Source organism: Homo sapiens, chromosome 7 (genome assembly GCF_000001405.40).
Source record: "Homo sapiens chromosome 7, GRCh38.p14 Primary Assembly".
NCBI classification, from domain to species: domain Eukaryota; kingdom Metazoa; phylum Chordata; class Mammalia; order Primates; family Hominidae; genus Homo; species Homo sapiens.
The window spans coordinates 80,282,999-80,297,782 of NC_000007.14; the positions used below are offsets into that span (position 1 = coordinate 80,282,999).

The 14,784-nt window shown below is 40.0% G+C and overlaps 1 annotated feature.

Moving 5' to 3' along the window:
* Window positions 473-974: an enhancer, noted in NCBI's record as "H3K4me1 hESC enhancer chr7:79912787-79913288 (GRCh37/hg19 assembly coordinates)". NCBI's record gives its function as "activates a minimal SCP1, AML or CMV promoter by ChIP-STARR-seq in naive H9 embryonic stem cells {active_cell/tissue: H9 hESC(naive)}" and the evidence as "EXISTENCE:reporter gene assay evidence [ECO:0000049][PMID:30033119]".

Below are 14,784 nucleotides of genomic sequence, written 5' to 3' on the forward strand. Positions count from 1 at the left end.
TTCTCCTTATAGTGAGTGACTTCTCATGAGGGCTGATGGTTTTAACGTGTGACACTTCCCGTCTCTCTCTGTCTCTGTCTCTCTCTCTCTCCCATCACCATGTACGACATGCCTTGCATCCCCTTCACCTTCTGCCATGATTGAAAGTTTCCTGAGGTCTCTCCAGCCATGTGGAGCTGTGAGTCAATCAAACCTCTTGTTTATATATTACCCAGTTTCAGGTAATATCTTAATAGCAGCATGAAAACTGGCTAATACAGAAGACTGGTAGCAAGAGTGGGGCACTGCTATAAAGATAACCTGAAAATTTGGAAGCCACTTTGGAACTGGCTAACAGGCAGAGGTCAGAACAGTTTGGAGGCATTGGGAGAAGACAGGAAGTTGTGGAAAAGTTTGGAACTTCCTAGAGATATATTGAATGGTTTGATCAAAATGCTGATATTGATATGGACAATGAAGCCCAGGGTGAGGTGGTCTAAGGCTGAGATGAGGAACATATTGGCAACTGGAACAAAGGTCACGCTTGCTATGCTTTGGCAAAGAGACTGGCAGATGATTTAGGGTATCTGGCAGAATAAAGCGCTAAGCAGCAAAGCATTCAAAATGTGACCTGGATTTTTATGAAAGTGTACAGCCATTTATGTTCAAAGAGATGATTCGGGATTGGAACTTTCGTTTAAAAGGGAAGCAGAGCATAAAAATTTGGAAAATTTGTAGCCTGACCATGCAGTAGAAAAGAAAAATCAATTTTCTATGGAGAAATTCAAGCTGGCTACAGAAATTTGCATAAGTAATGAGGAGCCAAATGTTAATAGCCAAGACAATGGGGAAAATGTCTCCAGGGCATGTCAGAGATCTTCGTAGCAGCCCCTCCCATTACAGACATGGAGGCCTAGGATGGAAAAATGGTTTCATGGGCGAGGCCCAGGGCCCTACTGCTCTGTGCTGCCTGGGGACATGGCACCCTGAGTCCCAGCAGCTCCAGCTCCAGCCATGGCTAAAAGGGGGCTAAGGTACAGTTCAGGCCATTGCTTTAGTGGGTGCAAGCGCCAAGCCTTGGCAACTTCCATGTGGTATTTGGCCTGCAGCTATGCAGAAGGCAATAATGGAGGTTTGGGAAACTCTGCCTAGATTTCAGAGGATGTATGGAAACACCTGTATGTCCAGGCAGATGTCTGCTGCAGGGGCAGAGCCCTTGTAGAGAACCTCTGCTAGGACAACGTGGAAGGTAAATGTGGGGTTGGAGCCCCCACACAGAGTCCCCACTGGAGCACTGCCTAGTGGACCTAAGAGAAGAGGGCCACTGTCCTACAGGCCCCAGAGTGGTAGATCCACCAACAGCTTACACCGTGGGCCTGGAAAAACTGCAGACACTTAACATCAGCCTGTGAAAGCAGCTAGGGGACTGTACCATGCAGCTCCACGGGGACAGAGTAATATACATATATATATATATATATATATATATATATATATATATATATATATATATACACACACACACATATAAAATAAGGAAATGTACAGCTATTTAGTAGTTAAGTTAATGTGATAGTTATAGAACCAAAATAATAGAATTAGTTATTGATATGTCAACTACACTGAAAAATTTTTGAACAAAATTATTACTTGAATTCTGAAGCTTCCTTGTATCTTAAACATTCTTGTGTAGAATACCCACACACCAATAACTGCATTTTTATAAAGAACTTTAAAGCTTCTTTTATTGTTGCTCCTCTCTTTTTATGTAGGAACAACTGTGTGTGTGTGTGTGTGTGTGCGTGTGTGCATTCTTTCATTATTTAGATAGTGAGGTTGAGTAAATTACCTTGATTAATTGGACTTAATGTCTACTAGAACATTTTTTCAGTTTATTTTCTTTGGCTAGAACACAGAATAAAAAGTAGAAAACAATAACCCTTGTACTTTAAGTAGAGCTTCACTACATTAAATAGTGTATTTGATGGCAAAACCAGGCTGTAAGCTGAAATTCAACTTCAAATTCTTTGCAAACTCATGTCACCCTGTTCTGTTCTATGTTAGGCAATTGACCCAGCAGTAGCCAGATAAAAGGGCTTAGCATATGAGTAATTTAGACCACATCTGTGAAACTCATATGTATACTCTGCATGCATCATAAGCTTTTCCCAAAGTAGAAAATGAAATAAACAGAGATAATTATTGCTGCTGAAAAATTCAGTGCTCTGCAAGACAGATTTTATTTTAACTAGTGCATATTACAGTACATTTATGGAACAAAAGACAAGCTTATGTTTTTAGATTTTGTTTTCACATTCTGTGTGCCATGAATATTTTCTGACCTATGCATAGTAAATGCAATAGGGTGTTTTTCCTGCCTCCCCTTACTTTTTCTCTCTAAAAGATTAACATTAAAGGAAAGCATCGGGGTTACTTTCATTTACTTATCAAACATGTGAACATTGATTTTAGTTATTTAACCTTTGCTGAAGAAATGTAGAGGCATATATGGAGGAAAAAGAATGTCAAACCAGTGCAGAATCCTTTTTTATACAATACTGATGAGAGTGTGGATAAACTGACATTTTAATACAGTCATGGCAGAAATGTAAATTTTTCAACCTTTTTAGATACTAATTTAGCAATATCTACCAAATTTCAACATGCACATAAAATTTGGCCCAGAAAATCCACCACTAGGAATTTATCTCATGGATGAATTTACACAAGTATTAAAAGATACAAGGATATTTACTGCAGTATTGTTGGTTTTAACAAAACAATGAAAAGAAATGTTCATTTGTAGGAGAATGGTTAAGTAAACTACTTTTTGTAAAAGCCAGCTAATGAAATAGATATTTATGTGGTGACCATGATGAAAATAAAGTATGCATATGTACTCATATGTATGTGCTTGTATGTTCACAGAAACTTTCTTGAAGGGTGCATATGGAAGAGTTAGCAGTAGATATAACGGGAAAGAAAAGAATTGAAATTTTCTTGAAGGGTACATATGGAAGAGTTAGCAGTAGATATAATTGGAGAGAAAGGAATTGAATTTTTCTTGAAGGTACATATGGAAGATTTAGCAGTAAATACAATTGGAGAGAAAGGAATTGGTTAGGTGAAGCCTTTTAATTTTCTCTGTATTAATTCTTTTCATTTTTGTTTTTCCATAAGCATATACTATTTGAAGAATCATAATACAATATTTATTAAAATTGTTTTAAAACATAAGATTGATACTTTTTTGAAATGCTTAATATGGTTTGGATCTGTGTCCCCACCCAAATTTTATGTTCAGTTGTAGTTCCCAGTGTTGGAGGTGGGGCCTTGTGGGAGGTCATTGAATCATGGGGGTGGATTTCCTCTTTTGGTGCTGTTCTCATGATAGAGTTCTCATGATATCTGGTTGTTTAAAAGTGTTTGGTACTCCCCCCTTACTCTCTTCCTCCTGCTTCGGTCGTGTAAGATGCACCTTCTTTTCCTTCACTTTCTGCCATTATGGTAAGTTTCTTGAGGCATCCCCAAGCAGGTGCCAGCGTCATGCTTTCTATGCAGCCTGTAGAACTATGAGCCAATTAAATCTCTTTTCTTTATAAATTACCCAGTTTTAGGTATTTATTTATAACAGTGCAAGAATGAGCTAATACACGCTCAAAAGCAAAAGTCCTTCAGATATCAAGATTCTAGATTTTCCCAGCTTAAAATTTTATAATTACAATAAACATCATGGAATATATTTTGAACCAAGATAAAAGAATAGAAAAAGGACTCTAATACTAGCAACTTGATCATTGGGAAAAATCAAGAGTAATGGTAGTAGGAACTTGACCAGTCAGCAATAAAAATTGATTCGAGGATTATTTTTAATTATATTTATCTTATTAACTATGATACTTAGGATTAATATTAGAATTATATGAACTTTCTCTTTTCTTATTGGTAGTGAGAAAACATAAATTGCAGCCATGTTTCTTGCATGTAACAAATGTTCATTAAATATTTGTTAACAATTTAATAAGCCTATATAAAGACATTCAATCATTAAATCAAACTGTAATATCTGACCTATGATTTTATACTAGTAAAAGTTAGGGGAGAGAGGAGATGGAGCAAGATGGCTGAATAGAAGCCTCCACTGATCTCTACACAAAAATCACCCTCAAAAGGACCAAAAGTCATGACACTAATCACAGTACCTGGTTTTAACTTCATATCACTGAAAGAGGCACAGAAGAGGGTAGGAATGACAGCCTTGAATTGATAATGCCTTCCCCTGGCAGTGGCTGCATGGCATGAAGGGAGAATCTGTGCATTTCACGGGTGGAGAGAACAGTGATTGTAGGACTTTGCATTGGAACTTAGTGCTGTCCTGTCACAGTGGAAAGCAACAGGATAAGAATTCAGCTGGTGCCACAGAGGGAGCATTTAGACCAACTCTAGCCAGAGGGAAATCATCCATGCCAGCAGACAGAAATTGAGTTCCAGCAAGCCTTGCCACTGTGGGCTAAAGTGCTCTTACATCCTAAATAAACTTGAAAGGCAGTATAAGCCACAAGGACTGCAATTCCTGGGCAAGTCCTAGCATTGTGCTGGGCTTGGGGCCAGTGGACTTGGGGCAGGGGGGCACATGACCTGGAGAGACACCAGCTAGGGCAGCCAAGGAAGTGGTTGGGCCACCCTTCTGCCAACCCCAGGCAGCCCAGCTTGCAGCTCCAGCAGAGACGCCTTCCTTCCACTTAAAGGGAGGAGAAGAAAGAATGAAGAGGACTTTATATTTCAACTTGGATATCAGCTCAGCCACATAGGATAGGGCACCAGGCAGAGTCCTGGAGCTCCCGTTCCAGGCCCTAGATCCCAGTTGACCTTTCTATACACACCCTGAGCCAGAATGGAACCCACTGCCTTGAAGTGAAGGACCCAGTTCTGGCAGGATTCATCACCTGCTGATTAAGAGCCCTTGGGCCCTGAATAATCAGCAGCAGTACCCAGGCAGTACATGCCATGGGACTTGGGTAACACTCAGAAATGTGCTGGCTTCAGGTGTGACCCAGCACATTCTCAGCTTGGTGGCTACAGAGAGGGAGGAACTCCTTCTGCTTGAGGAAAGGAGAGAGAAGAGTAAGGGGATGATGTCTTGCAACTTGAGCACCAGCTTGGCTACAGTGGGGTAGAGTATCATGTGGGATCTTGAGGTCCCTAATTCCAGGCCTTGGCACTTGGACAGCATTTTTGAAACTGCTCTCGGCCAGAGAGGAGCCCACTCCCTTAAAGGGAAAGTCCCAGGCCTGGGAGCATTCACCACAAGCTGAATGAAGAGCCCTTGGTCCTTGAGTGAACATTGGCAGCCTGGCAGTACTCATTGTGGACATCAGGCAGTGGTAGCCATGGGGAGAGACTGCTCTGCTTGTGGAAAGGGGAAGGAAGAGTGGGAAGGACTTTGTCTTGTGGTTTGAGTGCCAGCTCAGCTGCAGTAGAATAGAGCACCAGATAGGTTCCTCAGGTTTCTGACTATAGGCCCTGGCTCCCAAATAGCATCTTTAGACCACCTGAGACTGTGGAAAACTCACTGCTCTGAAGGAGATGACACATAACTGGCTGAGTCTACCCCCTGCTGATTGTAGAGCCCTGTGGCCTTGAGTAAACATAGGCAGTAGCCAGGCATTGGTTACAGTGGGCCTTAGGTGAGACCCCGTTCTGTTCTGGCCTCAGGTCTGACGCAGCACATTCCCAGAGGTGGTGGTCACAGGGGTGCTTGTGTCATCCCTCCTCCAGCTCCAAGCAGCCCAGCACACACAGAGAGAAATTCTGTGTACTTTGGAGAAAGTAAGGAAAGATACAATAACAAATCTGTCTGGTTATCCAGAGAATTCTTCTGGATTTTTACACAAGACCACCAAGGTGGTACCTCTATGAGTCTGCAAGGGCCACAGCATTACTGGGCTTGGGGTGCCCCCTAATGCAGATATGGCTACAGTGACCAAAAACTTAGATCACAACACCCAAGTCCCTTCAAATACCTGGAAAGCCTTACCAAGAAGAATGGGTACAAACAAGCCCAGACTGCAAAGTCTACAATAAATACCGAACCCTTCAATTCCCAGAAAACTGATGAACATCCACAAGCATCAAGACCTTCCAGGAAAACATGACTTCACCAAATGAACTAAAAAAGGCACCAGGGACAAATCACTTTCAGACAGAAAATTCAAAATAGGAAACTCAATGAAATTAAAGATAACACACAGCAGGAATTCAGAATCCTATCAGATAAATTTAAAAAATAGATTGAAATAATTAAAAAGAATCAAATAGAAATTCTGGAGTTGAAAACTGCAATGAACATACTAAATGCATGAGAATTCTTTTAATATCAGAATTGATCAAGGAGAAGAAAGAATTAGCTGAAAAATAGCTATTTGAAAATACACAGAGGAGACAAAAAAAGAATAAAAAAAAAATGAAGCATGCCTAACAAGGTCTAGAAAATAGCCTCAAAGGGGCAAATCTAATAGTTATTGGCCTTAAAGAGGAGGTAGAGAGAAGGATGGGGTAGAAAGTTTATTCAAAGGGACAATAACAGAGGACTTCCCATACCTAGAGAAAGATAGTAATATCTGAATATAAGAAAGTTATGGAACACCAAGCAAACTTAACCTGAAGAAGACTACCTCAAGGCATTTAATAATCAAACTCCTAAAGGTCAAGAATAAAGAAAGGATTCTAAAAGCAGCAAGAGAAAAAAATATATATGTAAATATATAATGGACTTCCCATATGCCTGACAGCAGACTTCTCAGTGGGAACCTTACAGGCCAGGAGAGAGTAGTATAACATATTTAAAGAACTGAAAGAAAAGACCTTTTATCCTAGAATAGTATATCCAGTGAAAATAACCTCCAAACATGAAGGAGAAATAAAGGCATTCCCAGACAAAAAAAAAGCTGAGAGATTTCATCAACACTACACACCTGTCCTACAAGAAATGCTAAAGGGAGTTCTTCAATCTGAAAGAAGAAAATGTTAATGAGCAAGAAGAAATCATCTGAAGGTACAAAATTCACTGGTAATAATAAATACATGAATATCATAACACTGTAACTGTGGTGTGTAAACTACTCATATCTTGAGTAGAAAGATTAAAAGATAAATTGATCAAAAAGAATAACTACAACAACTTTTCAAGACATAGGCAGTAGAATAAGACATAAAGAGAAATAAAACACATAAGTAGAATTAAAAAGCAGTTAGATGACATCAAAGTGTAGAGTTTTTTGTTTTTCTCTTTTCTTCTTAGTGAGTTCGGTTTTTATGCAATTACTGTTCAGTTGTCATCAATTTAAAATAAAGGGTTATAGATATTATTTGCAAGCTTCATGGTAATTTTGAATAAAAGAAATCTTTTAACAGATACACAAAAAATAAAAAGCAAGAAATTAAAACAGACCACCAGAGAAAATCACCTTCACTAAAATGAAGACCAGAACAAAGGAAAAAAGGAAGAGAAAACCAGAAAAAAACAACCAGAAAACAAATAACAAAATGGCAGAAGTTAGTCCTTACTTATCAATAATAACATTGAATGTAAGTGGGCTAAACTCTCCAATCAAAAGACACAAAATGGTTGAATGGATAAAAAGCAAGACTCAATGATCTGTTGCCCACAAGAAACACACATTGCCTATAAAGAAACACATGGAATGAAAATAAAGGGATGAAAAAAAGATATTCCATGCCAATGGAAAGCAAAAAATAGCAGGAGTGGAAATCAGACAAAATAGATTTTAAGACAAAAACTATAAAAAAAGACAAAGAAGGTCATTAAATAAAGGTCCATTCAACAAGAATATAACAATTTTAAGTATACATGCACCCAACACTGGAGCACCCAGATATAGAAAGCAAATATTAGTGCGACAGAGAGAGATAGGCTGCAATACAAAAATTACTGGAGACTTCAACACCCTACTTTCAGCATTGAACAGATCATCCAAATAGAAAATCAACAAAGAAACATCAGACTTAATTTTCACTACAGAACAAATGGACCTAATAGATATTTACAAGAGAGATTAGCACATAATTGGGGTTTTATTCCTGATACAAATAAGAAAGGCAAATCTAGTGAAGAAATTTGGACCTCTCACTGCTTATAAGGAATTGAATCATGAGAAATTGTGCTTAATTTTGTCTTCAAAATGATGGGTTTATAATTTAAATGATTATGTTAGTTTTCAGTCATAAGTCAGGATTGAGTGAGTTTGGGATTCAGAAGCTTTTCCTGGGGCCTAACTCCTGCTGGTTAGGTTCATCTATAATGAACCAAGTGGGCTACCTCAGGAGTAGATGATGGTTAAAATGTTTTCTTTTTATGCATATTGCCTACTATATTTGTCAGTTTAAAAGATTGGTGTTGGGACACCTGGATTTGTGCCCTTCAAATTATACAAACAATCAAAAAGCCAAGATAAATAACAAACAAACTCAGTTTTTCTCACACTTCTTATTTATGTGAAGTGAAGAGATGTGGAATAATGCCCTTTTCACCTGTGGCAGGTGGGTGTTTTTCTTTGTTTGTTTGTTTTTAATTAGGATCTTGCTGTCATTCAGGCTGGAGTGTGGTTGTATTAGTCTATTTTTACACTGCTAATAAAGACATATCTGAGACTGAGCAATTTACAGAAGAAAGAGGTTTATTGGACTTACAAAATTCCACATGGCTGGGGAGGCCTCACAATCATGGTGGAAGGCAAGAGGGAGCAAGTCACATCTTACATGGTGGCAGCAGGCAAAGAGAAAGCTTATGCTGGGAAACTCGTATTTTTAAAACCATCAGATCTCATGAGACTCATTCACTATCGTGAGAACAGTGTAGGAAAGACCCACTCCCATAATTCAATCACCTCCCACCAGGTTCCTCCCACGACACATGGGAATTGTGGGAGTTACGATTCCAGATGAGATTTGGGTGGGGACACAGCCAAACTATATCATTCTGCCCCTGGCCCCTCCCAAATCTCATGTCCTCACATTTCAAAACCAGTCATGTCTTCCCAACAGTTCCCCAAAGTCTTAACTCATTTCAGCATTAACTCAAAAGTCCACAGACCAACATCTCATCTGAGACAAGGCAAGTCCATTCCACTTATGAGTCTGTAAAATTAAAAGCAAGTTAGTTACTTACTAGATACAGCAGAGTTATCGGCATTGGGTAAATACAGCCATTCCAAATGGGAGAAATTGGCAAAAACAAAGGGGCTACAGGCCCCATGCAAGTCTGAAATCCAGTGAGGTAGTCAAATCTTAAAGCATCAAAATCATCTCCTTTGACTCCATGTCTCACATCCAGGTCATGCTGATGCAAGAGGTAGGTTCCCATGGTCTTGGGCAGCTCTGCCCCTGTGGCTTTGCAGGGTACAGCATCCCTCCTGGCTGCTTTCATGGGCTGGTGTTAAGTGTCTGCAGCTTTTCCAGGTGCATGGTGCAAGCTTTAGTGGACCTACCATTCTGGGGTCTGAAGGATGGTGGCCCTCTTCTCACAGCTCTACTTGGTAGCGCCCTAGTAGGGACTGTGTCTGAGGGCCCTAACTCCACATTTTCCTTCCACACTGCCCTAGCAGAGGTTCTTCATGAGTTTGCTGCCCCAAAGCAAACTTCTGCACGGACATCTGGGCCTTTCCATACATCCTCTGAAATCTAGGCAGAGGTTCCCAAACCCCAATTCTTGACTTCTGGGCACTGGCAGACTCAACACCATGTGGAAGCTGCCAAGACTTGGGGTTTGCACCCTCTGAAGCCACAGCCCAAGCTCTACATTGGCCCCTTTCAGCCATGGCTGGAGTGGCTGGGACAAAGGGCACCAAGAACCTAGGCTGCACACAGCATGGGGACCCTGGGCCCGACCCATAAAACCACTTCTTCCTCCTAGGCCTCCAGGCTTGTGATGAGAGGGGCTGCCGTGAAGACCACTGACATGCTCTGGAGACATTTTCCCCATTGTCTTGGGGATTAACTTTTGTCTCCCCCTTACTTATGCAAATTTCTGCTTGACTTTCTCCTCAGAAAATGGGATTTTCTTTTCTATCACATTGTCAGGCTGCAAATTTTCCAAACTTTTGTGCTCTGCTTCCCTTATAAAACTAAATGCCTTTAACAGCACCCAAGGCACCTCTCACATCCAGGTCATGTCTCTCAAATGCTTTGAGAGGTCAGCATCCTCTCAAATGCTTTGCTCCTTAGAAATTTCTTCTGCCAGAAACCCTAAATCATCTCTCTCAACCTCAAAGTTCCACAAGTCTCTAGAGCAGGGGCAAAATGCTGCCAGTCTCTTTGCTAAAACATAAGAAGATTCATCTTTGCTCCAGTTCCCAACAAGTTCCTCATTTCCATCTGAGGCCACCTCAGTCTGGACTTTATTGTCCGTATTGCTATCAGCATTTTGGGCAAAGCCATTCAACAAGTCTCTAGGAAGTTCCAAACTTTCCCACACTTTTCTGTCTTCTTCTGAGCCCTCCAAACTGTTCCAATCCCTGCCTGTTACCCAGGTCCAAAGTCACTGCCACATTTTCTGGTATCTACAGCAGTGACCCACTCTACTGGTACCAATTTACTGTATGAGTCAATTTTCATGCTGCTGATAAAGACATACCTGAGACTGGGCAATTTACAAAAGAAAGAGGTTTATTGGACTTACAGTTCCACATGTCTGGGGAGGCCTCACAATCATGGTGGAAGACAAGTGGGAGCGAGTCACATCTTACATGATGGCAGCAGGCAAAGAGAGAGCTTGTTCAGGGAAACTCTCATTTTTAAAACCATCAGATCTCTTGAGACTCATTTACTATCACAAGAACAGTGCAGGAAAGACCTGTCCCCATAATTCAATCACCTGCCACTGGTTCCTGCCACAACATGTGGGAATTGTGGGAGTTATAATTCAAGATGAGATTTGGGTGGGGACACAGCCAAACTATGTCAGTGGTGACACAATCTCGACTCACTGCAACCTTTTCTTCCCGGGCCCAAGTGATCCTCCCACTGCAGCCTCTCCAGTAGCTGGAACTACAGGTGCATGTCACTATGCCTGGGAAATTTTTTGTGTGCATGTGTGCGTGTGGATTTTTGTTGCTGTTGTTGTTGTTGTTGTTGTTAGATACAGGGTTTCACCATGTTACCCAGGCTGGTCTCCAGCTCCTGGGCTCGAGCAACCCACCTGCCCTGGCCTCCTAAAATGCTGAGATTACAGGCTTGAGTCACTGTGCCCAGCCTGGTGAAAGTCTTTAATCATTTTTTCTTTCTCTTTCTATTTTCCTACATGTTTCCCCTTCCTTCCTTCCTCCCTCCCCACTCCCTCTTTCCTTCCTTCCTTCCTCCCTTCCTTCTTTCTTTCCTTCCTTCCTTCCCTCCTTCCTTCCTTCCTTTTTTCCTTTGCTTTCTCTTCTTTCCTTCCCCAGTTTTTCCTTTCATTTATTTATGTGAGGCTGCAGGACTTTGCTGAAGATACCACAGTAGTTGTTCACATTTGCCCACTGATAATCACTGATGAGTCACAGACATACCCAAATGTTCTTATAATGTGACCAAGGAGAACTGTGCAATATGTTTATAATAAAGTCTTCAACAAGTCAATTATTCTTAGTCTTTTTGAGTAATAAAGTCCATCTGAAAATATGATAAAAGTGAAGTAAAAATAAACAAGGGTACATACATCCCAAAATTTGCCCACAAGTGGTCCCCTTATGAAGAACTTTGCTCTGTCAAAGATGTAATTTTGTCATCTCTGCTCAGAATGGATAATTGTGTCTATATTAAGCCAATAAATATACTGGCATCATTTCTAAGACCTTTCTGTTGAAGCTGGTTAGTTTAGCCTCATTGTTATATGTGTCTTCTTTGGAGAACAGAAGACACTGAAGGCAATGATAAAAACTGTCAAATATTAAAGAGTTTTCTCTCAGAGAGAGTGAAGCTACTTTGAGTGGTTCCAGAGAAACTTTAGGATAATGGAATGGAACTCTCAGGGAGGAAGATATGACTCCGAAAAAGAAATAACTTTCTAAAACTTATGACTTTTAGTAAAGTGGAGAACATCCTAACATTGCAATTTTCATTAGGAAACCTGGCTCTAGTTGTATGAGACTAGTTGTACTCAATGGCCTCTTCCCACCACCCATACCATTTTTCCCTACTGAACAAGATGTTAGAATATACAGGTCCTGAGATTTCTAGTTTAATCCAGAGAAAGAACTTTATCCAGAGTGTCTGACACACCCTTTAACCTAGAAACTCTGATTAGTTTGCAGGTGTCACACAAATTTTCTGATACTAGCAGACTAACATATGCTATGATGAAGCCATAGTCAAATAGTGAGGAACGTTCCTCATGTATCAACACAATTTTCTCTTATAAATAAAATAAAAAGTAAAATAGTTATAAAATCAGCAATAAAGAATTTAAAGGCTATTTTGTAAATTATTGATGGATTTTCATATTCATAGTTCATTCTGGTTCCTTCCAATTCTGTGACCATCTAAAGGAGTGTGTGGTGAACCATTAAGCCAATCTTAGCTGTTGCTGTATGTTGAGTCATGAGATATTAAAAATGGCTTATGGACAAATCATCTCCCAGTTAGGGCAATTGTACATGACCTGATCTAAACTTTTTTAAAAAATAAATTTAATTTTCCCCAAAGTTATTGAGGTATATTTGGTGCACAAAACTGCACATAGTGTGTACAATTTGGTGAGTTCAAACATATGCATATACCAGTGTTACCTTGCCACAATCAAGGTAATCAATATATTCATCACATCCAAAAGTTTCCATGTGCCACTTTATTTTTTGTTTCTTTTTTTAAAATTTGTGATGAGAACACTTAACATGAGCTCTATCCTTGTACTACCTTTTAAAGTGCACAATACCTTATTGTTAACTACAGGCATTATGTTGTACAGCAGAATTCTGGAACTTACTCATACTGTATAACTGTAACTTTATATCCATTTATAATAGTAACAACTCCATACCTTAACTATTGTGAATAATGCTGGAAGGAACATGGGAGTACAGATATCATTTCAAGTTCCTGATTTCAATTCTTTCAGATATACACCTAGAAGTGGGATTACTGGATCATACGGAAGTTTTATTTTTATTTCTTTGAGGGACCTACATACTGGTTTTTCTTAGTGGCTATACCATTTTACATTCTCACCAACAGTGTACAAGAATTCCAATTTCTTCATAACCTTGAAAACACTTTTTTCTCCCCTTCTCTTTCTTTTCTCCTTCAGAGACTCTCATAATGTGTATATTGAACTACTTGATGGTGTCTCATATGTCCTGTAGGGGTTCTTCGGTGTTTTTCATTCTTTATCCTTTTAGCTTCTCTGACTACATAATTTAAATGACCTGTCTTCAAGGTAACTACTTCTTTCTTCTGCTTAATTGGGTCATTTGTTGAAGCCCTCTATTAATTTTTTTTCAGTTTAGTTATTGTATTCTTCAAATCCAGGATTTCTGTTTCTTTGGTTTTATGGTTTTCATTTCTTTTTGAACTTCTCATTTTGTTTATGTATTGCCTCTCTAATTTTGTTTAGTTGTCTGCCTAATAGTTCACTAAGCTTCTTTAAGACGATTATTATTTTTCTTTGTAAGGCACTTCGTAGATCATCATTTATTTGGGGTCAATTATTGAAACTTTTTTAGTTTCCTATGGTGTTATCAAGTTTCCTTAATTTCTCATGATCCTTATATTCTTACATTTATGTCTGCACATTTGAAGAAGTGGTTCTCTCTTCCAGTCTTTATAGTCTGTTCTTAGCAGGGAAAGACTTTCACTAGTCAGCCTAGCTTAGGACTCTGGGTGGGCCAGATGGCAGTTATCTGTGGGCAAGTGAGGCCTGTGAGTGAGGTCCATTGGGTTCAAAGTTGAAACAGGGCCTGTTGAATTCTTGGTTAAATGGAGCCTGTTACCAAAGTTTTACTTTTGAGCATGGTTGTCTGGTAGGGCTTCACAGGTGGGTGGGGCTGGTTGCCTGGGCTCTAAGGTTATGTGAGCCTGCTCTCTGAGCTCTATAGTTGGGTGGAGCCAGCCGACTTGACTCTTTGGTTTGATGGAGTTGTTGGTTAGGGCCACAGTCAGGCAAGGCTGCTCACAGGGGCTGTGGGACTGCCTCTGAGATCTGTATGCACTGGCTGCTGAGAGCCCCTGCCTCTTTCTGTTATTCCTGATTGTTCCCAGGTGGTCTAGCCATGCCAATTTCCCCAGTGTGTGATATGAGGTGAGGCATAAGTGGGTCTCTAGAGCAATGCCCTGAAATGCTGGGGAAGTTCAACATCCACCATGATCTCTCTTTACTCCACTGAAGAAATCACGGGTCAACAGGATCTTTCTTGGCTCTGTGTTGTGCTGGATTGGGCAGGATTGCTTCTGACAAAGAAGGGTTATTTTTATCTTTTTTAATGCAATTTTTTTCACTCTACCAGGGTGCTCAACTTTTGGAATTCTCACAAAGGCATTCTTTTCTATGAATAGTTGCTAAACTGTGTTTCTGTGAGGGTACTGGGGCTAGGGACCTCATACGCATCCACCTTTCTGGAAGCCTTGATCTGCTAATTTTACTTTTCTCTTTCTGCTTCATACCAAATTCTGCTAAGCACCGATTCTTGGTTTTGTGTTTCATTTCAGCTCTGAATTTGTCATTAGCATTTGATATGTTTTTGTTATTAATTCTTAAATCTCCATAAATTATGGCTCATATTCTCCAGGCTGTTGCCTGAGTGAAATTGACCCCAAGGT